At 41.9% G+C, this 26881-nt stretch overlaps 1 long non-coding RNA gene across 1 annotated transcript; it reads right to left on the bottom strand.

Annotated features, from left to right (window-relative positions):
• LOC124905242 (uncharacterized) lies at positions 1-25183 on the bottom strand. Its single transcript, XR_007068388.1, has 2 exons — positions 25119-25183; positions 1-1546 (listed from the first exon to the last, which is right to left on the bottom strand). It is a non-coding gene; the product is annotated as an uncharacterized LOC124905242 (long non-coding RNA).
• Positions 25184-26881: the final 1698 nt, after the last annotated feature.

Below are 26881 nucleotides of genomic sequence, written 5' to 3'. Positions count from 1 at the left end.
TTTTCATAGCAGTGATTTGTTTATTTTATCATTTCCCTTGCTGACCCTTCTCTCTCTCCAGCTCTCTATGAGACAGGTGGTTTGGCTTATTACCGGCTTATTTGAACTGGAGCAATTTAAATATTTCTTTCTCTCTGTCTCTCTCTCTCTCTGACGGAGCCTCACTCTGTCGCCCAGGCTGGAGTGCAGTGTCACGATCTTGGCTCACTGTGACCTCTGCCCTGTGGGTTCAAGCGATTCTCCTGCCTCAGCCTCCCAAGTAGCTGGGATTACAGGCGCCTGCCACCACGGTAATTTTTGTATTTTTAGTAGAGAAGGGGTTTCACCATATTGGTCAGGCTGGTTTTGAACTCCTGACCTCGTAATCCACCCGCCTTGGCTTCCCAAAGTGCTGGGATTACAGGCATGAGCCGCTGCGCGCCTGGCAAATACAGTATTTTTCAAAACACAATTTGTTGTAAATCCAGAGTTTCATTTGGCAAGCACCTTTGGTATAGAAATTGTACTAAGATTCCAAACGCTGAAGTTTGGAAAGGAGGGTCTATCCATAGGCTGTAAAGATTGTATCTTCCATCTTTCCAGACTCTGAATCCAACTTTCTGTGAGGCTGATTATTACGTTGGCACCAATCTCTGATGCAGACATTGCCCTAGGCAAAGGTGGAGAGTAGGGGGTTCCTCTACACTCATCTGACACCCCCCCAAAGAAACTGTACTAATGCTTCAATTAGTACATCATGCATACACACTCCAAGTCCTGCCATCAAACTTCCCTTGTGGCAGCAACAGTTTTCCTTCAAATCTTTCCGCCTGCTGTCTCACTAGGAGTTGCTATTTAACTGTTTCACATAAGGGTTAAATTAGCAGAACTTTGTGTAAAAAGTGTGTCCTCCTCCTTCGTCTTCTTCTTCCTTTTTCCCCCTTCTTCCTCCTAACTTCTTCCTCCTTTCTACTTCCTCCTGTCTTCCTTTTTTCTTCTTCCTACTTCCTTCTTCCTTTTCCCTGATTCCTCCTGCATTCTTCCTACTTCCTCTTCCTCCATTTTCTTTCCTACTTCCCTCTCCCTCCTTCCTCCTTTCTACTGCCTTCTTCCTCCTTCATTCTTCCTTTTTCCTCCTTACTTCCTTCTTCCTCCTCCCTCCTTCCTACTTCCTTCTTCTTTTTTCTTCCTTCCATCTTCCTTCTTCCTACTTCCTTCTTCCTCCTCCATCTTTCCTTCTTCCTCCTTCCTTCTCCCTCCTTCCTGCTTCCTTCTTCCTCCTTCCGCTTTTATTTTTCTTCATCCTCTTTCCTCCTTCCTTCTTCCTCCTTCCTTCTTCCTCTTTCCTGTTTCTTCTTCCTTCCTCTTTCTTTCTACCTCCCTTTTCCTTCTTCCTCCTTCCTTTTTCCTTCTTCCTCCTTCCTTCTTCCTGCTTCCTTCTTCCTCCTTCCTGCCTTCTTCTTCCTCCTTCCTCCTTCCTGCCTTCTTCTTCCTCCTTCCTCCTTCCTGCTTCCTCCTTCCTCCCTTCTTCCTCCTTCTTCCTTTTCTTCATCCTTCCTCTTCCTCCCTGTAGAATAAAGGTTTAGATCAGTGTCAGTGAAGATTTTTGGTTAAGAACCAGATAATTCATAGTTTTATGTTTGTGGGCCACCCTTTCTCTGTTGAAATGTCTCAATTCTGCCATTACAGCAAAAGTAAGCATAGACAAATTAATGCCTCTAACTGTGTTTCAACAAATCTTTGTTTACAAGAATAGGCAGTGGCCAGATTTGGCCTGCAGGCTTGTAGCATGCTGTCCCCTGGCTTAATCAGTGCATCCCAATTACTTTGGGAACAGTGTTTTATGACATCCTACATCAGGGGTTGGGGAAGGGGGATTCTGCTTTTCGAATAAGTGCCCAGCAAGTGCTGATGGTGCTTGTTCATAGACCATACTTTGAGTAGCAAGTGTTCAGATAGCATGTGCTTTTTATAAATAGACTTGGCAATTGCACCGAACAAGGGGAGAGTGGTTGATGATTCTGATGAGCTGCAAAATTTTACGGAATTCCAGAGAGAACCTGAAAAGTGGTATCTAAACTCAGAAGAAGACCGTGTGAATGATGCTCTATTTAAAAATGTCTTCTAACCAAACCAAACATGGGAAGCTTGGATAGTCTTGCAGTGATTTCATTCTTTCTCCTCAGGTTTCCTGGAACCCATTTACTCTTGAAACCATTCAGGAAGAATGCAGGAAATTAAAAGGGAGCCTCATTTTCAGTGTGACCTTGGATCTATTGCTTGACCTTCCAACACCTGGGGCAATGCAAATGAGTATCAAATTGTGTCAAAACAGGGTCTTACTGGAAAACAGATGTTGTGTCAGAATTTTCCTGCATGTTGGGGAGCTGAATTTCCAAAGGTAGCTCAAAGTCAACCTATTAAGAATGCTGAATTTTCCAAATACCAGAGCTTGAATGCAAAGGACTAATTACTCTCAGATTTGCGAAAAACGCAACAGCAACAAAAAAAAAAACCAAAAAAAAACTCTTATGTACAGAATGAGAACAAGACTAAGAACAACCACAAAAACTCCAATGAATGTATTAACTATCTTTAAAAGAATAAAACAAACTTTTCCTGAAGGCTTCCTTTAAATATGTGAAATGATGATTGCAGTGACGACGTTCGATGCTGCACACGTCATGGTATAATAGGGATCAGCTCCTTGGAATCATCGCCACCTCTCCCGCCTCCTCTTCCCCTCTCCCTCCATCTCTGCCCAGTCATGGTAATTCTTTCCATATGGAAATGAGAAGTGGCCAGATTTGGGAGACTCCCTTCTTTGGCAGATTGTTGGACTCAACTCCATGTGTATAACTGATCTGGCAGATTGCTCAACATGTGGCGGAGGGGGTCTGGAATTATTTAAAGTTTCAGGTTTTAAAAATAGCAGGCAATTTTGACCCTCTTGGAGGATTTGCTACTACTGGACGTCCTCCTGGGATATTCAGGTAGGGGTCAGGTTTCCCTGCCTGTCATTTCAGAATACCCTTCTAAGTTATGTTGGTAACTGTTTGCATAACAGATTTGTTTTGGTTGAAATTTCGTCTGCTGCGATAATGGCATGTCATGAATTGGGCCTCTCTGTCAGGAGCTGCCCGGGTGAGAGCATTTTAGCAGTAGCTACATATAGGTGTGGGTCCTCTGGGAGGAAGCGTGGCCTTGGGGTTAGAGCCAGAAAGGATCTCGACATGTAGACTCTTGGCCTCTGCTGTTTCTGATCTGCTAGACCTCCACATAGCCATTTTTACATTTTGTAAAACATATGTAAAGTGTTCTTCTTACAAGGGTATGTTGGAGATGGAAGCATGATTATTGCAGCTTGACAACAACAGAGATGCTTGACTTTGGACACTCCTTGAAGCTTGAGAGATTCCCTTCAACTTGTACTTCTGAGAAGAAAAGGGGAGCCCAGGGAGACAGGCAGAATACTCTCCAAGGAGAGAGGAGGCCTCTGAGACCCTGGGAAGGACAGAGCTATTTTGCTCCAATTTTTCCAGGGAGTTTCTTTCAGACTGGAATGGAAGACACTGTCTTTTAGGTGCAAAGGCCCCTTGTGCTTTTTGCTTTGCCTAAGTATTTTGGCCGTGGACATTGGGCGGTGTCAGGCTAGGGAGCAGAAAACTAAATACTGCATGTTCTCACTTATAAGTGGGAACTAAACATTGAGTACACATGGGCACAAAGAAGGGGACAATGAATACTAGGGCCTACATGAGGGTGGAGGGCAGGAGGAGGGTGAGGATTGAAAAACTATCAACTGGGTACTATGCTGACTACCTGGATGATGAAATCATCTGGACAGCAAATCCCCGTGACACACAATTTACCCGTGTAACATACCTGCACATGTACCCCTGAACCTAAAAATTTGGAAAGAAAAAAAAGACAATATGGGTTAATATGTGCAACTCAGGCTATTTCTCCTGCATAAGAGGGGAAATAGTAGAATGAGGATGTTTGCTTCCTTTAATCTTTTGCTGGTTTTGGCAGTGGTGTTTCTTTTTCCTTTCCTTTCCCTTTCCTTCTTTCCTTCTTTCCTTCTTTCCTTCCTTCTTTCCTTCTTTCTTTCTTTCTTTTCTTTCTTTCTTTCTTTCTTTCTTTCTTTCTTTCTTTCTTTCTTTCTTTTCCTTCCTTCCTTCCCCCTTTTTTTTTTTTTTGTTGAGACAGAATCTCCCTCTGTCATGCAGGCTGGAGTGCAGTCGCATGATCTCAGCTCACTGCAATCTCTGCCTCCCAGGCTCAAGCGATTCTCATGCCTTAGCCTCCCGAGTAGCTGGGATTACAGGCGTGTGCCACCATACCCAGCTAATTTTTGTATTTTTAGTAGAGATGGGGTTTCACCATGTTGGCCAGGCTGGTCTCCAACTCCTGGCCTCAAGTGATCTGCTCGCCTTGGCCTCCCAAAGTGCTGGGATTACAGGCGTGAGCACTGCGTCTGGCCAATGGTGTTTCTTAATTGGGTCTTTTCTGTAGTAGGCTCTCTGAGCAAGAACACCCTGGGTATGACTACTTGTAATCATGGGTGAAAGTGGGAAATGCAGGAGTTGTTATTAAATGTCCTTGCATGTTTGCATATGAGTTTTGAGAGCTTCTGCAGAATCTGGGAATGTGGGATGAGGCACTTTTGGAAGGTTTGGGTGAAGGACCCTGTTGCTGGGAGATCTTATGGGGAGCAAAGCCCTTGTGTGTGGCAGGTTCCTGTGGATGTGGTGGTATATACCACAGGCAAAAAAGCAGGAAGATCCAGGATCCTGGCTCCTGCTGGTGCACAGGCTTCTGCTTGGACTTTTCCAGGGTGGCCCCAGAGGACAGGGAAGACCACTTTTGGTCAATTCTAAAATGCACATTTTCCAGCCTTTCATATTTTGAAAATCAGAATGCTTCTTTCAATCAGCCACATCTCATAATTATTGGTATCTGTTTTTCCTTCTTAGCATTACTCAAATTACAGGTGTGTCTTACAGTCCATACTCTTCTAATATTTGGCAAATTGTGGTAGATTTGGGCTCCTGAAGTTGGAATAAGAATGCAGTCAAACTAAGTACTCCCATCTTCTGGAGTTCAAGGGCCAGAGAGAGAAAAAGATGAAACATTTATGCTTTCCTTACCTATCATTTCTGTCCAAAGTAGAGGAGAAAGGGCAGGATTCTTTTATCTAGAGCTGTGGTTCTCAAAGTAAGGTTCCCAGATGAGCAACATCAGCATCACCTGGGACCCCATGAAGCAGAAGCTCGGGGTTTTAAGCAGCCCCCCAGGTGATCCTGAGAACCACTTGATGCCAGTAGTTTCTGCCCAGTTCTTGATCACTGACTCTTTAATTTATATCTAAAGTCCAAGTCTCTGGAGCCTCCACCCCCATATACTCATGATAGTTCACTTGCACCTCAAACTCTATGCACTTAACTGGAAATCCTTGTCTTCCTCCTCAAACCAGTTTCTTCCTACGATTTCTCCCTCTGGATGGTTCCACCATCTCACCTGCTGCTTAAGGTGGAAATGTGGTGTCTCTGTTCCTCTCCGTCTCAGTGTCTCTCTGAGGCATTCCAGCCCCTCCATGCCCACCGCCCATGGCCGTGCCTGGGTTTAGCCTTTCCCTTCCTGGGATATTGCCAGGGTATCTTGTGTTTTCCATGCCTCAGGGCCTATCCTGTCCAGTCCCTCCATGCTGGTCAGGTCAGAGTGACATCTGTCACATGCACACCTGATGATGAAATTCCTTTATCTAATCAGTCTTTAATGACTTGTCATTCTCTCAGCAGTGTTTCCCAACCCAGATCCCTTTCAGAACCCTGAACCCTGGACTTCCGAGATCATCACCGACATCTGAGAACTGCTGCTTATGATCTTTCCTTTTGGAAACTCACCACCACCTTTGACACTTTAAACTCCTTTAGGTTTGACCTAGCATTTCCCATGGACTTGGCTGATCTTGCCTCTTCTGCATGTCAGCTGGCCCCAACTTGCTCTTTGGCCTTCTTTTCTGTAACTCCCCTGATTATATTTTTGGTTGATGGTGATTTGGAAATTTAATTTCCTGAAAATGTCATGTTCCCTTCTGCCCTTGGACTTTCACCCATTGTTTTTACCTCTGAATGAAATGCTCTTCATTCTCCTTGGCTCCTGGAAAATTCCCTCTCGTCATTCAGGTCTCAGTTTAACCACTGCCTCCTACAGGAAGCCCTCCCCGACTCTTCCAGAAAAGTTTGGGCACCACCTCCCACCGATGTCTGCACCTTGTCTAAACTTTCATCATCCCTGTCTCCTCACAGACTAGAACCTTCTTGAATGCAGTGACACTGGTTTAGCACAGTGTCTGCATGGTGCGGGTGCTTAGTAAACTCTGGTGGATGCAAAGCCAGAGTGTGATAGAGTCATTGAGTCCCGGTAGTTTCTGGCCATAATGGTGTTATCCTATTATATTTATATGTAATAGTGCTTTTACAAATGCTCTAATATAATGACTCGTGTAATCCTTGTTACATCCCTGGGTAGGCACTAGCATTTTTTGAAAAATATTATTTTTATTTATTTGTTCATTTATTTTTCTAGAGACAGGGTCTATGTTGCCCAGGCTGGTCTTGAACTCCTGGCCTCAAGTGATCCTCCCACTTCAGGCTTCCAAAGTGCTGGGATTGCAGACATGAGCTCCTGTGCCTGGCTGGCACTTAGCATTGTTATCTCTACAGTTCAGATGGGGTGAAGATGGAAGGATTTTTTGGGTGTGGCCCACCTGTCCCCTGCATGTGGAAGTGAGAAGGAGCCCTCATCTCTGGGAGGAATGTTGGCGAAGAAGGAACAGAGGGCTTTAGGAGGTGCTTTTTCTTTTTCCTTTTTTTTTTTTTTCCTTTTTGAGACAGGATCTCACTCTGTCACCCAGGCTGGGGTGCAGTGGCACGATCTCGACTCACTGCAACCTCCGCCTCGGAGGCGCTTCTTGAGAGAAGCAGAGCACATGCCTGCAGGTCATTTTTCCTTTTCTTGTGAGAAAGGAAGAATTTCTCGTCTTCTCTAGGAAAATGAATACTTCCCTTACACTAAGAAATTTTTGTCCGCAAGGGGTTACTTGCAATTTGTTGGCAAATTCAATAGGGTAGTTATTCTCTGGTTACAGCAGCCCAAGTTGTTAGGATCTTGGTGCTTCTTGTAAGTAAAGCGGGTAACTTTATGGCATGGGACATTTAGCAACGTCTGGAGACATTTTTAGTTGTCACAAATGGGTAGAGGGTGCTCCTGGTATCTGGTAGGTAGAGGCTGGGGTGCTGCTCATCATCCTGTAGTGGAGAGGATGTATCCCTCCACAGAGAATCACCTTGCCCAAATGTCAATAGTGCTAAGTTGAGCAATCCTATTTTATCATCGTAGGCTTAGGCATACACCCAGCATCTTAAAAAGTAAACAGAAAATGTCAAGGTCTAAACACAGCAGTGGGAAACCGCAAATAGGCCTGACCTAGGAGGTGACTGTGGGTGGGTCCCTGAGGTTTTTTTTTTTTTTTTTCCAGACAAAGTCGTCTCACTCTGTTGCCCAAGTTGGAGTCCAGTGGTGCAATCACGGTTCACTGCAGCTTCAACCTCCTGGGCTCAAGTGATCCTCTCACCTCAGCCTCCAGAGTAGCTAGGACTACGGGAGAGTGCCACCATGCCCAGCGAAGTTTTTAGTTTTTTTTTAGAGAAGGAGTCTCCCTATGTTGCCCATGTTGGTCTCAAACTCCTGGGTGCAAGTGATCCTCCTTCCTTGGCCTCCCAAAGTTTTGAGATTACATGCATGAACCACAGGTCCCTGGATTTTAATGAGCAAGACACAATGAAGGACATGAAACTAGAGGTAGGGGGACAGCCTCCACACTCCATTTAGTTTTAGGAAAGGAAACTGCAGGACTGCCAGCCTTGAAAGGTAGGATTGAGGACATCAGTAACCTTGAAGAGATTTGCCTACTATTTGCACTTGCTTCCAGAAGTCCACAAAAAAACCTATACTGTAGTTTTTTTTTCTGAACATTATTCTTAAGGAAATGTTCTGGAAATGTTCTACAAATGTCATTCTTGAAGAAATGTCCTAAAATGACAATAGCAGGGAAAAAAAAAAGATTGCTTTCAATGATGGAAAGATAATTGGGAAAAGGGTAGTGACCAATGAATGTCAGATCTGATGGATCCAGTATGGTATGTAAGACTGGCCACAGGACTCACGTCTGTGAAAGGTCTTATAACTGCATCAGGGAGAGGAGGCCAATAGGAGTAGAGGCCTCCATAGTGACTGAATATAATTTGGGCGGTGTTGGTAGCAATTTGTTCCATGTGGGAAGAAAATATTAGAACATTTTTAAGAATAAAGAATTGAGGCCAGGCGTGTTGGTTCAGGTCTGAAATCCCAGCACTTTGGGAGGCCGAGGCGGATGGATCACTTGAGGTCAGGAGTTTGTGACCAGCCTGGCCAACAAGGTGAAACCTCATCTCTTCTAAAAATACTAAAAGTAGCTGGGTGTGGTGGCACATGCCTGTAATCCCAGCTACTCAAGAGGCTGAGGCAGGAGATTCGCTTGAACCCAGGGAGGTGGAGGTTGCAGTGAGCCGAGATCACGCCATTGCATTCCAGCCTGGGCAACAGAACGAGACTCCATCTCAGAAAAAAAAAAAAACAAAAAACAAAAAAAACAAAGAATTGAGGCCGAGGCAGGAGTATTGCCTGAGGTCAGGAGTTCAAGACCAGCCTGGGCAACATAGTGAGACCCCATCTCTAAAAATAAAAAATTAGCCATGCATGGTAGGGTGTGCCTCCCAAATAGTCCCAGCTACTTGGGAGGCTCAGGTGGGAGGATTGCTTGAGCCCAGGAGGTGGGGGCTGCAGTGAGCTGTGATTATGTCACTGTACTCCAGCCTGGGTGACAGAGTTAGACTGTCTCAAGAAAAAAAAAAAAAAGAATAAATGTTAACAGTCTTTATCTTTGGCATTATTAATGTCTATACAGAGCAATACTGGTGCTCACACCCAGCCATGTGCCAAATGTCCCAAGTCAGAAATGAAATAAGAATTAATCCAAGGGCAGAGTGGGGCACCCCACAGTATCCCACATATTGGCATGTATTGTGCCTTACCCAGGTATGGTCATGTGAACCCAGAGATGACATCGAGTTTATGTAAAACCTACCTTCACAGCATAGGTAAATAGCTTAAAAAGACTTTTGAAGATGTGCAACCTGCTGAAGGTAAGGGTAATACTCCAAGCACAAGTGACCACAAGAAAGTGGTCAATTTGTATTCCTGATGTGAGTTCCTTACTGTATTGAGAGGTCCAAACATTGTCTTCATCAGGTCTGGCAAGAAGCTGACCAGAAAAAAAATCAAAATGATCAAGAGACTATTTGAAATGCAGTTTTATGTCTAAGTTCATTAATGATAGCTATTTTCCTAGCCTCATATATGTGCTTTGAGATATTACTGATATTAGCACTTGGAGGTAATTTGTAAATAGATAAATAGACACATTGCAAGAGTAAGCTCCAGCTTGACCATTCATAAGCCTTATAGCCTATGATGAGGTGCTTGTATTTCTTCTGATTGATTGATTGATTATTTTTTACACTAAGTTTTATTGATGCATAACTTATATCCAGTAAAATGCATCTGTTTGAGGGGTATAGTTTGGTGAGCTTTGACAAGCCAGTATAATTGTGCAATCACCATCACAATCATGATATGGAACAGTTCCGTCATCCCCCCACCTCCCCAAATTCTCTCATATTCCTTTGTAGTCTGTCCTTGCCCCCATCCTGGCCTCTGGCAACCACTGATCTGATTTCTGTTCGTAGTTTTACTTTTCCCAAAATCTCATATAAAACCAGTCAGACAGTATGAGGCTTTCATGTCTGGCTTCTTTCACTTAGGCACAGTGTCTTTGAGGTTTATCCATGTTGTCACATACGTCAGTAGGCCTTTCTCTCTCCTTTTGTTTTTAAAGAGACAGGGTCTTGCTCTGTTGTCCATGCTGGAGTGCAGTGGTGCGATCATAGCACACTGCAGCTTGACTTCCTAGGCTCAAGTGATCTTCCCACCTTAGCCTCCTGAGTAGCTGAGACTACAGACATGTGCCACCATGCCTGGCTAATTTTTAATTGTTTTTGTAGAAACAAGGTCTTACTATGTTGCCCAGGCTGGTCTCAAACTCCTGACCTCAAGCAGTCCTCCTGCCCTGGCCTCCCAAAGTGCTGGGATTATAGACTTGAGCCACTGTACCCTGCTAGCCTTTCCTTTTAATTGCTGGGTAGATTCCCTTGTATGGATGTACTTACTGTTGAATGTTTGTCCATTTCTCAGTGGAAGGGCACAGGGTTGTTTCCAGGTTTTGGTGATTACAAATAAAGTCACTGTACACATTTGCAATTGAGTCTTTATGTGGACATAAGTTCTCATTTCTCTTGTATAAATGCATCTCTAGAAGTGTGATTGCTGCATATGGCAAGTGTGTGTTCACCTTTATAAAAAAACTGCTCAACTGTTTTGCGAAGTGGCGGTGCTATTTTACATTCCTACCAGCAATATATGGAAGTCTGGTTGCTCCACATCCTTGCCAGCACTTGTTATTGTTCTTTTCTTTTTTTCTTAATTTACCCATTTAATAGGAAGATAGTGGCATTTCACTGTGATTTTAATTTGCACTTCCCTAACGGCTAAAGATGCCGAACATCTTTTCCTGCGTTTGTTTGCCATCTTCATCTGTCCTTGAGTGAAGCACACTTATTACATGTTGAGCATAAGTTTCCTTCTATATGTACTCTGACAATCATGTGGACAGAATTTTTTGGAGGATTACAATGAAATAATTCCGGTGAAAGTTTTTTTTGTTTTGTTTTTGTTTTTCAACCCGGTGCTTGGTACATAGCTGTTGCCATTTTTTATTTTCAGTGAATGGCTTTTGGTCAAAGAGTGACCTTAGGGGTTATGACAAACTGAATGACATATTTGTGACTCTTTTTCACGAAGAAGGGGAAGAGCATGAGGAATAGTGACCCAAGGAAGGGAGGTAGGAAGGATTTGTCACCTGAAAACCCCGATATGGAGATGAATGGCTGGAGAATGTTCTGGAGAGCCATGCAAGTTTCCCACCCTGAAAAACTGGTGTTTCTCTCGTGGGCAACAGGAGGTCATTAAGGGTATGAAGACGAAAATGTCCTCATTAGATCTGAGTTTCAGAAGCCTGAGGGCAGCACACTATTGTTTAATCTATTTCACTTGTATGTTGGCAGTGTTCCCAATATGAGCCGCGTCCTATTAAGTCAAGAAGGTTAGTGTCTCGAAACCCAAAGAATGGGGAGAGGCTGAAACGGAGACTTCTCCAGAGGATCACACCAGGCGAAGCCACCTCTGTGGAGTTGAGCAAAGGCTCTGCTTGACCCCAAACATCTTCTGTATGAACATAGACAGGACCTGGGAATCCTACATTCTGTCCTTGAGATCTGAATCGACTATTTTCACTTTGTCACTTATTGTCATATTGATAGAGGATAATAGATTATCTCACTGTCATTAGCAGGCTTTTTATTTCTCTTATTTCCTTTTTAAAATCTTAACAGTCAGAATTCCCTATGAATGCACAAATATATGTTGGTTATAAACAAAACTACTAAAAAGTCTGTACAGTAAAAATGGAAAGCCTTAAGCACACTCAGCATGTTGATCGAACACGTATTCATGGAGCACCTGTTGCCAGGGATTCCCAGGCACTGCTTGAAGGCGTGGGATAGGTAGATCATCAAATAAAGCATACAGAGCTCCCCCAGGACCATGGATCTGCATGCTAGCAGAGGGAGAGACAATATGTGATAATAACAAATAAGTAAATTATACTATCTGCAAGAAGGCTGTGCTATGTGGAAAAGATCTTTAAAATGTACGGAAGACATTTCCATGTGGTTTGTATACAGCTATGATCTTTGTGTAACTTACGGCATACTATTCTGTGGCTGGAGCTAATTATATCGGAGCTGGGATTTGGTCCTTATGGGACGGGATGTAAAGCTGTGAGGTTTTGGTGGAGAGAGAGGGCCCCGGGGAATGAAGAACTCAAAGCTCTGGAGCCTGTTTGCACAGGGGGTGGGGAGTGGCTGGAACCACCAGGAACAGCGACTGTTGATGCTCTCCTGATCCCAGGATGATTTCCTACTGAACTTTTTGGAGGGTCAGGGTGTGGGGAAGATGAAACAGAACTTTCAAACACAAATGCTGGCTGTGATGGAAGTCTGATGGTTGTAGCAGTGGGCCCAGATCCATACTGTTTATAAGGAAAGAGGAGAAGAGAATGTCCTCTTATGAGGCTGAAACATGCATCCATCATTTCGTTTGGTTTCCTTTTAAATTCCACTTGCAAATAAGAGTTTCTTGACACATTACATTTGAATCTTTTGAAACTTAATTTTCTTGTACAGAATATTATTCTGTTTTCCCTTTCTTTCTCTGCAATAAAGCATGCCTGGCTGTTCTCTCATGGATAGAACTGCCTCTGTCCTATTGCTACTTACTCTTTGAATATTATTGACAAAAGTGAGAGCTCATTTGTCAAAGCATACATTATGTTCTGGGTTGAAAAAAAATCCCCCTGCTCTAAAACATTAATTTCCAGAATGTAAGACAGGCTGTGCTAGGTGATACAATTTTCATCTGACACATAAAACACATTAACAGAATATTTTTTTCCACAAGTAGAATAGAAACTTGTAATTCGACAAGCCATCAGACACTTCTCGCTTCCCAAGTTTGAAGTACAACTCTTTTTCCTCTTGAAGCTAATGATTTCATTATGATGAAGATTTTCTGCATAGAATAGGCTTCTCTGCTCCTTTACAGTTTTTGCGCAGTAGGTAATTGGGCCTTTAGTTAATTAGCTGCGGCTGATAGGATATGTGCTAGAAAGAATCAGGTGCAATTTTCCCCCTCTTCTCATTTTATTGTGTGCATTTTGTTGGCGAGATAATTTTAGCCCAATTCATTGTTCAAGTCTACCAGGAGAAAAAAATTAATTATATTAGTTTCATGGTGTTTGGTCTAGAAGGTATAAAATGTAATTTTCTACTTTAGGAGGCCGAGGCGGGTGGATCACCTGACATCAGGAGTTCAAGACCAGCCTGGCCAACATGGCCAAACCCCATCTCTACTAAAAATACAAAAAATTAGCCTGGCATGGTGGTGGGCGCCTGTAATCCCAGCTACTCAGGAGGCTGAGGCAGGAGAATCACTTGAACCAGGGAGGCAGAGGTTGCAGTGAGCCGAGATCGCACCACTGCACTCCAGCTGGGCAACAAGAGCAAAACTCTGTCTCAAAAAAAAAAAAAAAAAAAAAAATTCTGAGGAAAGAAAGGCATGCATGAAGGCTCCATTCCTTTTCAAACATAATTTTCTTTCTTTATTCTTGGCTTTTGTTTGTTGTCATCTCTTGGGTCTTTGCTCAGCTTCTCTCAATTGTTCCAGAGTACACAGGGACCTCTCATCTACTAATGAGTTCTCCAGCAACATAGGAAAACCCAGACCAGATATTGATGTATGTGGTAGCCTTGAATCGGAATCTGGCAGACTCCAAGTGCAGGGCGCATAACTGATCAAGGGCCCCAGCTACTGTGCTCTGCAGTCCCTTGCAATGTTGGTGCAGGGGTGCAGAGGCCATGTTTCTCACTGACTAATCCCAGCCAGCGACCCAATATGACTGACATTGGCTTGACAACTCCCCTGGGGTAGCCTGGAACCTGTCTTAGTCTGTGTATCAGTCAAGAGCGGTCCAACCTTCCCTCCCTTTATCCTTCAAGTGGGGGCAGACTTGCATTGCCCTTTCTTTTACAGAGGTGTTCTCTCTGAAACCATCTTGATTTTCTTAATCCCACGTGGACATCTGCTTCTTGTTGGGCCAGGACTCACTTAATGTCCCTGCAATGTGTCCACTGATTCAGCTCCCCTCCCTCCATGCTGTGTGAAGACTTGCTGTAAAGATGGGCTACTCTTGTAGTTGCCTTCTTGGTGTTCACAGACTGGCAAGCAGACCAGACAGCAGCCTGCTTACTTGGGCCCCCATATGCAGCCTGATTCCTGCTGGCCTTCCTGAGGGTCCTCTCGACACCCCATCTTGACATGTTCTCTTATTTTAGCTACACTGACAAAATACCCACTGGGTTTTGCTGCTGTCTTGCTCCTTAGTCCTGTATAGCCTCTCCACTGACTCATGTCTCTTTGTGCATGTTGGTCCTGCTGTGGTTTTCTCATTTTTCCAGGTGATCTCAGCCACATCCAAGGCTTCCCCTTGAACATGTATACTCAAATTCTATACCAAAGCCACTCTAGGGGACACTACCACCCACAGTAGGCACTTCCTGAAACTCAGTATTTCTGACACCCACTTCACCCTCCTTCATTCACAAAACACCTGGTGTAGCTAATGGCACCACCATCTTTGCATTCTCTCAAGGCAGAAAGCTATGAGTTAGTCACAACAGAACTCTGTCCCACTAACTCTCCCCCACCCCATGGCCATTGATTCCTTGCTGATTTCCTCTCTGTAGCATTTTTGAATCTTACGGAAGAAGTGCAAAATGTATGCTCTGAAAACTATAAAACATTGTTGAAAGAGATTAAAGAAGACCTAAATAAATGGAAATGCATCCCATGTCTATGTTCATGGGTTGGAAGACTTAACAACATTAAGATGGCAGTACTTCCCAAATAGATCTATAGACTCAGTGCAAGCTCTATCAGAATCCCAGCTGGCTTATTTGCAGAAGTAGACAAGCAGAACCTATCATTCATCTGGTAATATAACAAACCCAGAATAACCGAAACAATATTGAAAAGGAAGATCAAAATGGAGGAGTCACACTTCCTGATTTCTAAACCCACTATAAAACTTACAGTCAAAACTTATTATAGTAATAAAGGCAATGTGGTAGTGGTAAAAAGGTAAATATGTAGATGAATTGAATAGAATTAAGAGTGTAGCAATAAACCCTCACATTTGTAGTCAATTAATTTTAAACAAGAGAGTCAATACAATTAAGTTGGGTAGAGAATAGGCTTTTAAAAGAATAGTGCTGGGACAACTGGATGCTCAACATGCAAGAGAGTGAAGTTGGATTCCTACTTCACATCGTATACAATAATTAACTCAAAATGAATCTAAGACCTAAATGTAAGAGCTAAAACTATAAAATTCTTGGAAGATATGAACAATGTCTTTGTTTAGAAATCTAGAGAAGAACTTTTAAAGCAGCTAAAGAAAGATTGGGTGAGAGGTGGCTTTGTGGGCAGAGTAGTATCTGACCAATCAATGGCTAATTGGTCCAGGGAAGCTGCCACCTGCTTCTGGCACACCATGTTGGTGCCCCCTTCTCCATCTTTTTTGGGCAAGAAGATAGGGAGAAAAAAAAAATCTAACAGGATGTTGCCTACTTAAAGGAGTGAGAAGCACTTGTTAGAACGTTCTGCCCACCGTGGGGGTGAAGATGAATGTTATCAGTTGAAAGAAGAATTGACATCACAGTAGCAATGAGCATGCTAAGCTCACAGATCTTGGTTTCTAAATCCCTTCTCTAATAGAAGGAACTAGGGCTCCTTGGAGACTGCTTATTCTGGGACTGAGGCAAGGGAAATCCAAGATGTTCCAGCAATATCATATGGTGCCTAAAATTAATGAAGTGTTTAGAAAATGTTAGGGACATGTTTTTCAGTTAGATATCAGGTGGATTTGTATTTGCGGTCTAGTTTTTAAAAATACTAGCTGATTTGAGTGGCTCTTGCATTTGATGAGTTTTCGTTGTGCATAGCCCTTGACTGGGGGCAAAAAAGGAATTTCTAGCTCTCGAACAGCATGAAGCAAAGAAGTTTGATGATTATTATCTTCATGGAAATATTTTATTAAGTATGTGAACAAAGCTAATGGGCAATTAGTTTCCATGTCATGAAGACTTTGTATCTCAAAAGAATTTTGCAAGAGACTGTATCTAATTCATTATTATAACTTCAGTCAAGCAACATTCTTGAAAAATAGCACTCACCAGGAAGAAACCATTTATGGAATTAAATACAGACAACTTATTTTTAGAATGAACACCGTTGAGTTTCAATAGGAAGAACACCTTTCAGTTTCAATAGGAAAAAAATGACTATGTATTTGAGATGTGAGATAAAATTAACATGAGGAGAAGAGCAGCACAGACCGTGTGGGTAGAAATTTGTTTTCCTTTTGGGTTCTAAGAGTCACTGCCATCAAACTAAAAATTGGCCTTTTCAAGAGGAAACAAGGTTTTGTGCCAGCTTTGTTTTATTATTATTATTCTTTATGCTGTATTTTTGGCTTGCTGACAGCAGCCTTCTGCAACAAGGATTCATAAATGGTTCTTCATATTTAACGTAAATGTCAAGACTGTCAATTCCTGAGCCTGCAGATTTTGCAAAAATATCATTCACCAGCATCTTCATTCTAGTTTGGAACAGATTCAGGGAAATGTCCTTGGCTCCAAAAAAGCTTTAAATAAGGTTTGGACACTCTGGGAGGCTGGCTTGGCTCCACTGTCATTGCCCTTTTGCCACTTCCAGGTAGGGATGGAGATCTTTGGGCATCTGTGCCTTAAAAGGCCTGGGCCTATAAATAAGCAGAGAAAGCTACATTTTTCCATGCTATGTGGCCCTGACCCTTTTACACAAACATAGATGGATGGTCTGAAAGTAACACAAGAAAGCCAGATGTGAAAAGCAACAAAAACAGGGAGGAAAAAAAAAAGTCTGCCTCGCCCTGGAGAGTCTCGCTTAACTGAAGGCTTTTCTCTCTGCCAAGGTTTCCAGCTCTGCGTAACTCCTGTTTCCAGGCTGCCTTGGGTTTTAGGAACCTGTGGACTCCAGAGATAAAACAGGAGGCTGGTTTCCCATGGGTTTTTGCAAGTTCCTGTGTCATCCTAGCCAAGAATTGTATTGGAGTCTTGCAATGATGGTGTGCATGTGTACGTCCAGTGGTGATATACATGGGGTCTCATGGCCTGCAAGATCCCAAATGATGTGGCTGCTGTCTCCCTTTCATGTGCTTCCCATTCCTTCTCTCCCTCTGAGCAAGCAGTCTGCCTTTCTCTCTGCTCCTCAGGCTGCCACAGTCAGTCCAGTCTCCAAGTCTCTGCACTTGCAGTTTCGTGACTTGTCACTGTTTTCCCCAAGATAATCATACAGGTCTTTATTCTTTCAAGAGACCTTTCTTGACCTCACTCACTCCCACGTGGCCCCTCTCTGAAATCCCTCTCCTCTTATCACACTTTCTTTTTCATTTTCTTTCTTTCTTTTTTTTTTTTTTTTTTTTTTGAGACAGGGTCTCACTCTGTTGCCTGCAACCTCTGCCTCCCAGGTTAGCTGGGATTACAAGTGTGTGCTACCATGCCTGGTTACTTTTTGTATTTTTAATAGAGATGGGGTTTTGCCATGTTGGTCAGGCTGGTCTTGAACTCCTGGCCTCAGGTGATCTGCCCGCCTCGGCCTCCCAAAGTGATGGGATTACAGGTGTGAACCACCGCGCCCAGCCTGTTTTTCTTTATGTCACCTGTCTGGACTTGCCATAATAGATTTCATTGTTTATATATCTGTCTTCTCCATTAGAAAGTATTCTTGATGGGAGCAGGGACTTTGTTTTCATCCTTGCTTTCAACTCAGCACCTAGAACCTGGTACATACTGAGTGTTTAAATAAATATATGTTATGTGTAATCCCAGCACTTTGGGAGGCTGAGGTGCGAGGATCACTTGAGGCCAGGAGTTAGAGACCAATATGGGCAACACGGCAAAACCCCATATCTACAAAAACTACAAAAAGTTAGCTGGGTGCAGTGGTGCATGCCTATATTCCCAGTTACTTGGGAGGCTGAGGCAGGGAGATTGCTTGAGCCCAGGAATTCCAGGCTTCAGTGAGCTATGATCAGCACTGCACTCCAGCCTGGGTGACAGAGCAAGACCCTGTCTCAAAAGAAAAAAAATTTATATATATATATATAATGCAGATAAACAAATGAATGCATAGATATATTCCTGAGTACAGTAGTTTTGATTTTGGTGGCATGTCGTACTTGTATTAGTGGGGTGTCACTCCACCGAAGAATTTTCTTTGACTCTTCCAATGATGGTATGCATGTATACATCCGACGGTAATCCATCTCTATCTATCTATCCATCCATCCATCCATCTATCCATTTCATCTATCTATCTATCCATCCATATCTGTTTATCCATCATCCATCTATGCATTTTATCTATCTATCTAAATTAGGTTTCAGATAGAAAACACAAAACTTGGGCAGGGTGATTCCATAAATAGTATTAGAAAAGAGGTTAAGATTGGGGTTGCTTCCTGAAGGAAATGGATTTGTTATCATCATGATCAATTACTGTGATTGATGTAATGAGGAAACAGTGATTAAGTAACATGGTGAATTCAAATTATACATTAGCAATTATCCTCTTAATTGTATGAGCGTGAAGATATACTTTTTGAGAACCCTGGTATAGAAAGGAATGAATAAAGGGATGTAGTCCTTACATTATTTTTTTTGTTTGAAGGCTTAATGTTGATGATACTGAAGATCACATTTATCACAGTAAGGAGGCAGTCTTTATTCTTTCACTCCTCCTTCCCTCTCTCGAGCCTCCCTCCCTTCTCCTTCCATCTTCTTTCTTCCTTTACTTTCCCACTCACTGTGTCCCTGGCTTCTTCCTTTGATTCTTCATAGGGTGAGGAAGTTCTTAGTAAAAAATAATTGAAACGGATGATTTCACTTGCATTATGACATTCCCTGATCCCTTATTCTAATAATAATAACATCATATACCCAATGGTGGCCACTTTGTGTTCACTGCCTCACCTTTCTCTTCTGTAAAATGAGGATTATGATAAATACTGCACAGATGGAGAATTATATCAGGGATAGAGGATGTAAGCAATTACCTTGAAGTCACATGGTGTCAATTACCTTGAAGTTACAGGATTTGACTTTGAGAGGTGCCATTCAGATACACTACCTACCTCTCCAAAAACTGTTAAATATGTGCATAAAGCAAAAATATATTATTTTACTTCTCAGTTTGAAAGAATTTGAGACTTATAAAAATGTTGCCAAACATTTTAGTACAAAGTAATTACCTTTATATAGTACATATACCCTTCACCCAGCTTTCAAAAATGTTAGTAACTTATGTAGCTATTGTACAATGATCAAAACTAAGAAAGTAACATGAGTATAATACTATTAGTTAGCCTGCAGATTTTCTTCAGGTTTTTGTTCAATTTTTGTACTAATGTCCTTTTTCTGGTCCAGGAGTGCATGCAAGACTTCACATTGCATTTAGGTGTTGTCTCCCTAACTCCTCCAATTTGAGCCTTTCTTTGTTCTTTATATTCTTGACATTTACAAAGAGCACTAGCAAATTTTTTAGTAGAATGCCCCTCAATTTGGGTTTTCCTGGTGTTTTCTCATTATTAAATTTAGGTTATATGTTTTTTTGCAAGAATGCCAAGGAATTGATATTGTGTCCTCTGCATGTTATCAGGGGGACACATGATTATGTCACTGTGTTTTATTACTGGCGATATTAACCTTGATCAGTTGGCTAAGGCTGTGTCTGCCAGGATTCTCCATTGTAAAGTTACTATTTTTCCTTTGAAATAAAAAAATATTGTGAGGAGACACTTTGACAGTGTACAAATGTCCTGTTTTTTATCATATTTTTTTCACCAGCTAATGTTAACAGTCATTGATGGCTTCTTCAAGAACAGTTATTACTGTGATACATGCAAATGGTGATATTCTATTTCTTTCATTTCTTTTACATTGAATAATGGGAGTTCTATGATAAGAAAGAGTTATACCTTCTCCTTTGATTTAGTAGTAATGAATTCATGGATAATCATTTTATTCTATGGGTTATAATTCATTAGTATTAGTACTTTTTGCTATTTCTGCTATTGCTCCAGTTGTCCCCAGATTTGCCCATTGGGAGATCCTTTAACTGTCAATTCCTTTTGACATGGCCCCATCATTTTCTAAATACTTCCTTAATTTTAGGCACCATATGATATTGCTGGAACATTGTGTATTTCCCTTGCCTCAGTCTGGGAATAAGCAGTTTCCAAGGAGCCCCCATTCCTTGTATTGGAGAAGGGATTTAGAAAACAAGATCTGGGAGCTTGGCATGCTCATTGCTACTGTGGTGTCAATTCTTAACCCTCTCAAAGAACAGGGCTATTTCCCAGTATATCTATGAATACACAGACATACACATATAACCATCTATACCTATATGTATATACCTTTATGTTTATATATTAAGGACCATGAGTTTATACTGTCACTGATTCCAGTCTAACATCACAGTGTTCATTCTAGCCTTCCCCTGTATTTGTAATTCTTCAACAGTAAAACATCTGTCCCTCATTACCCTCAACATATTTATGAACTCACTCAGCCCTAACTTATATGTGTATGCATGTTTATAGTCCCCAAATTGCTAACTCACATGCCACTTGAAAAGAATATGTATTAACTAGAACACAGTATATGTACACATTTCTTTTTGTCTTTTAAGCCTTCTAGTATGTAGTCAAAATATTGTTTTTCAAAGTTATTTAGATCAGTTCTTTTCTTCTTTTAGCATGTCTGTGTTATGCATTTGCAATAGAGTTGGGCTCATTTGTTACTCTTTAAATTCCATTTTGGGTCTCTGCCCTACTGCCACCACCACTGTCCTGGCTGATTTTAATTAGTTATTACTTTTTGAGTAAGGGAAGCATAACATAGTTCTAAAAGTCAGCATCATACAAAACACATACACAGAGAGGTCCTGCTCTCCACCCCTCCATCTGTGATCCCCCACTCCCATTCTCTCATTCCTTCTTCATTCTCACCCACCCCCTCTAAGTAACCAGCTGCATTCACTTCTGATTCATCTCTCCTGTTTATTTTGCACAAAAGAACAAATGCATGACTATTTTCTTATATCTCCTTCATTCTTACATGAAGGGTAGCATATTATAAAGATATTACTTTGCACTTTGTTTTTTTTCCCCACTGAACAATATGTCCTGGAAATTTCAGTTCATAAAGATCTTTTCCATTCTACACTTTTATTTTTTTCCCACTGAGGTGTAACTTTCATATAATAAAGCACACATATCTTTTTTTAATTAAAAAAAATTTAGAGACTCTAAAAAAAAAGCTGTGTCTCCCAGGCTGGAGTGCAGTGGTGCAATCACCATTCTCTGCACCCTTGACCTCCTGGGCTCAAGCCATCCTCTCTCCTCAGCCCCCGTGAGTAGCTGGGACCACAGGTGCATGCCACCACGCCCAGCTAAATTTTTTTATGTAGAGACAATGTCTCACCATGTTGACTAGGCTGGTCTTGAACTCCTTGGGGTCAAGCAGTCCTCCTGCCTTAGCCCCACAAAGTGCCGAGATTACAGGCATGAGCCACCACGCTCAGCTGAGCACACACATCTTAACTATACAGCTTGATGATTTTTTTTCCATATACTTACATCTGTAAACACCATTCAGTGGATAACTAGAAACACTGCTGGTGTCCTGGAACATTCTCTCATGCTTTTTCTCAGTCACCATCCTCCCCTACAACCAGGGTAACTATTCTGATTTTTATCACCATGAATTAGCATTGTCTGTTTTTGAACCTTGCATGATCAGACTCCTACAGTACATACTGTTCTTGTGGTTTTGTTTGTTCCAGATTATGTCTTATCTATATTCATTTAACCTGGTACAGCCCCGGTGGGTAAATCTTGGATCTGAAAGCTTCATCTTCTTCTGTTATCTTGGAACAAGATTGATGTAGGAGGACAGCTTGCAGGTATTATAGCTTTCTGCACCTTGCTTTGCAGGAGATTATATCTTGTTAAAAATAGATATTTTATAAGGTTTTTAAAAAACTGACACTAACTCCAGTGGTCTCTGAGTGTTTGCATTAAAACCAACTGAGGAGACAATTCTGCCAGTTGGTTTGAAATAAATGGTTGTGCACTTGATCTCTATTTATATAAATAACTTTCAGTGGAATAAACATAATTCTACTGAAATATATGTCCCACGAGGCAGAGATGATGCTTCCTTTATTGACTACCGTATAATGACCTAGTACTTGGTTGGTGAATAATTCTAAAGTGAATAATTCTAAAACAATTGTTAAAGAATAAAAAACCGGACAGTTGCCACAATTTATTCATTAATTACAAATTCACTAAACACTAATTATTATTATGATGATGTTATGCATTGGGAATTGGGCTGGATCTAGCTGGGAATGTGTGTGTCCAGCTCTCAAGGATGTTGCCTTATGCCAGTGAATTGGCCTGGTCCTCCTTCCCTTGAATTGACCAATTCTGAGTTCACCAACAACTCAGGGGGCTGCAGAGTTCATGCTAAACGATGATTGAGGCTGATAACACACAGGCAAAGGGTTCTTTATTCTTTCCCAATGGGCTGAAGCTGCCTTGTTCATTCTACTGCTCTCACTGGGTGGGGGGTGGGGGGGCAAGGAGGAGAAGTGCTGTTGTTCCTCGAGGAGCAGAAAGAAGCGCTGGTAGATAGTTCTAGATTCAACTTTATCTGAGTAACACGCTAAGTGGCACATTACAGTAGTGAACACACTGCCCTTTCTTTCTTGGTTGGGATCTCAGCATGATATGCAGCTTGACCCACAGGGAAAACATTCCTGCATTCTTAGCATGAGCTGTTTTTGCAAGATAAAAGATGACAGTATAAATGAGAAAGAGATATTTCCACTGGTACCTTGTCCAGGTCACCCTGCTAAACACTTACTTACCCATGCATACAGGATGAATGGCTCTTCATAATCGTAGATGGTTTTATATTTGTGATTCTGCACCCCACTGAGCAGAAACAAGCTGAAGCCTAAAACTCTGCTTTCAATTTCAAACACCTCTCAATTCTAACTGGAATTACCTGCTGAAGGAAATTCCATAGCTCAGTGGTGATAATGTCCTACAGGCATTTTCAACTAATTAGAGGAGAAATGTCCTAATTTACAAGGGGAAAAGACAGTTGTCTTGAGAATAATTAATTTCTGCTATGAAAGATGCATATATTAGTATGGTTACCTTCAAGAATTAATTACCTCATTTTGGACTATTTGTCTTTTCTGGAATGCTGCTTACTTCAAAATGTAATTAAAATATTTAGCACATAACAAATTGAAAATCACTGCTCTGCTGTCGAAGCCAGCATGCTAGAAAGGAAATAGTGGTTTGTAGAAACGCTGTAGAAAATTTCCATTTAAATTCTTTTGGTCAAGGATAGTGGATATATCTTCTCAGATAATAATATCTGTTGTTATGTTACGATTTCTAATGAGTTTCAGAATGAGCTGCCTTGTACTAATGCTGTGAGTGGATAAAGAAATAATAACTGATTTTTTTCTCATGAGGCTATTTTAATCTCATGATCTGTGGGTGCTAAGGGAACTTTGGGTGGTGGTTACATCTCTTTTTATGGCTCCACAATTGTCACAAGCACTTGTGTCTTAGACGATGCAATAGAATGTATCATAGATCATCACTCTGTGAGTTGCCGGAGTGGAGACCATGAATTACTGTAAGCTTTCTGGTCCCACATGTCTCTTCTAGCATCTTGCTATTTCTCATCAGAAGGCAGCGTCTATTTCTTATCTCCTTAAACTTGAGTGAGGCTTCGTGACCATCCCAACAAGTAGAATGTGGCAAATGTGATGCTATGTGACTTCTAGGCTAGGTCATAAAATTCTAAATGGCTTCTACCTCTTCCCTGAACATTGGCTGTTGGACAGCCACCATGTTGTGAGAAAGCCCACACTACACAAAGAGGCCATGTATAAGTTGTTCAACCAATAGCCCTAGCAAAGATCTCAGCCAACAGCCAGCCAATATCAACATCTAGACATGTGAGTCTTCAGAGGATTCCAGCCTTGGCCTTCAAATTCCCTCAGCTAAGACGGAGAGGAAAAGAAGCAACCTATCTCTGACGAGCCCTGTCCAGGTTGCAGATTTGCGAACAAATTTGGGATAATTTGTTATGTACCCTAGTAACTGGAACACAAGACTGACATACTGAAAAGAATACTTTTTGAGGAAAATTCATTTGTGGTGGGTTGTAGAGCAGGCTTTCAATTAATGTTTGTCAAAGAAAATGCTTTGTGAAATCAGGATCAGTTAGACAGTCCATAATTGAGTAATTAGGCTGGTCTTTTTACTTTACTTGAATGAGTTTACACGGCTGCCAACACACACACACACACACACACACACACGTATGCATACATATGAATACACATACATCCTTCTATATGTCAACTTTACCATCTCTCTCCTGCTGTAATGCAGTGCTGTTTTGCCTTCTTAGATTATTCATAGCTCTGCTCTAGACCAACTGGAGCATAGGGAAATCTTTATTTCACTTTTATTTCTCACACACATTTTCCTTCAAAGTCCTAAAGAATATTTATAGTTTTCCCCCTTGCCTTGGTTCCAAGGTCTGCCGATGCTAGTTTGCAGAGGCTGATGGGCCCGCTTGCCCTTCCTCTGGGTCATATAAAATGCTACCTCTGTGACTTGAGTTCTCATAAATCCAAATAATGAGGAGATGAGCCTCAAATGGAAATGTGCTGGCTGGGCGTGGTGGCTCACGCCTGTAATCCTAGCACTTTGGGAGGCCAAGGTGGGTGGATCAGTTGAGGTCAGGAGTTTGAGAGCAGCCTGGCTGACATGCTGAAACCCCATCTCTACTAAAAATACAAACATTAGCCAGGCGTGGCAGCGGGTGCCTGTAATCCTAGCTACTCAGGGGGCTGAGGCAGGAGAATTGCTCGAACCCAGAAGGTGGAGGTTGCAGTGAGCCGAGATTGCACCTCTGCACTCCAGCCTGTGTGACAGAGTGAGACTCCCTGCTCAGTGGTAGCTCCTTTCCCCCATAGCTGGAGATGGCATTGGAGCAACCTTGTGATTTCAAAAATAAAACACGCATTAACCCTTTGCACCCTCACATTTTTAAAGAAAATCTGTAACACAAGAAAAGCAACAATTTTCCACTCACCTCCTTCACAGTTGTGTGGAGTGGAATAACGAGAGTGTGTGCTTGTGGAGTGCTTCTCAGCAACGTAGAGGGGCCAGCCTGTGCGGAATGTACCTTCGCGACATCACGTCATTTGGAAGCGCCACCAGAATTGACCACCAAAATTGCTGCATCCCTCTCAGCATCAATTCAGGAAAGTCTGCATGATGAAAAAGCACTCTTCTCTCCTCCAGTACTAAAAATTGTCTTTGGAGTGGTTTGAGGCAGTTGGCAGTGCAGTTTTTCTTCTCCATGGCTTCCATCGTTGTTGCTCATGGAAACTCATAATGTGATGTCAGTGGCTCTTCTCGCTGTCAAGACGTATGTTACTCTGGGGATTGGCCTGTGGCTTTCAGCAGGAAGTTTGCTCTGCCAGTTTTAATACAAACCCTTAAATTTCTTTGTCAGAGATCACCAAGGCATTTTCACAGCATTGAAGATGATTTGTTTTTCCCTGGTGTGGATTGCTTTTTGGAGATGATGACACTTTTTATTCCGCAAGTCCATGCTGATTGCCATGCCGATTGCAGGAACTCTAGAGATATCAATTGCAGGAATTCTATAGATACGGGGCTCTATAAGGCTACTTTTAGAAAAGGGAGCTGGAAACTTGACAGGGCAGAAAGCATCCATCCTGGCCATGAGGCAGATTTTGAGAAAGCAGAGACATTTGGACATTTGTTAAGATTCTCCTGGATGGAGATTGGAGATGTTCCTTTTCAGTGCACTACCCAAGACCTTCCTGGGTGGGTGCCAAGAGAACATCAAGACAGAAAGCAAAAAATTCCATCGGTCCTTGGAACACTTGGAATAATCTAGTGAGATGACAGGCTGAGTTTTGCACATCTCAGAGGGGCCTCGACAGTGTGTGGCTGTGATTCAAACCAGACACTGAAGTGCAGGCTGAGGAGAATGAGTGTAAACTTGGTTAACAGGATTTTTCTTATGTAGGCAATTGCCTTTTTTTTTTTTTCTTTTGCGGTTTCTGAGATCAGGTGACCAGCATGCTTTTGCAAGTTTTGAAAACTTGAATGCTTTCTGGAGTCAGGCAGTAATGTGGATGTTTCAGGAAGCTCTGGGTATAAAAAAAAAATTAAGAGTGTGGGGCCTATTGGGAACAGGTAAGCATAGGAACAAATGTCATTCCCAAATTCTTGCATATTTTCAAAAACACTGCATGGTGAAACCAAGCAGGACCAGCTACATCACTTGCAGCTTCCAGAGCAAAATGAAAGGATGAAGACCCCTTTTCAAAAATTAAGAATTTAAAGATGGCAACAGCAGAGCATTAAATTGAGCGTGGAACCTGTTTTTTGGCATTTTCTAATATGTTACATAAGTGGAAGGATACAGTATGAGGTTTTCTTGTCTGGCTTCTTTCACTTAGCATCATGCATTTGAGTTGCATGATACAGTCATTCTTTTCTTTCTATCCCTTGGGAGTATTCAGTTGGATGGATATTTGTTTGTTTCTCTATTTACCTGTCGAATGGTGCTGGGTTGTTTCCAGTTTTTGGTGATTGTGAATAAAGCCATTGTAACATATACATTAAATAAGCATTTCCATTCAGATGCTGGTGTGGATATATGTTTTCACTTTCCTTAGGTAAATACCTAGGAGTGGAATTGTTGGGTCATATGGTTCATGTGTGTTTAACTTTATAAGAACAATTTTGCATTCCTACCAGCAATATATGTGAGTTTCACTTGCTCTGCATTTTCCTTTTTTTTTTTTTTTTTTTTTT

The sequence above is a fragment of the Homo sapiens genome, chromosome X (assembly GCF_000001405.40).
Source record: "Homo sapiens chromosome X, GRCh38.p14 Primary Assembly".
NCBI classification, from domain to species: Eukaryota; Metazoa; Chordata; class Mammalia; order Primates; family Hominidae; genus Homo; species Homo sapiens.
Note: the sequence above shows the minus strand (reverse complement) of the source record. Positions and strands in the feature narration are given on the sequence as shown.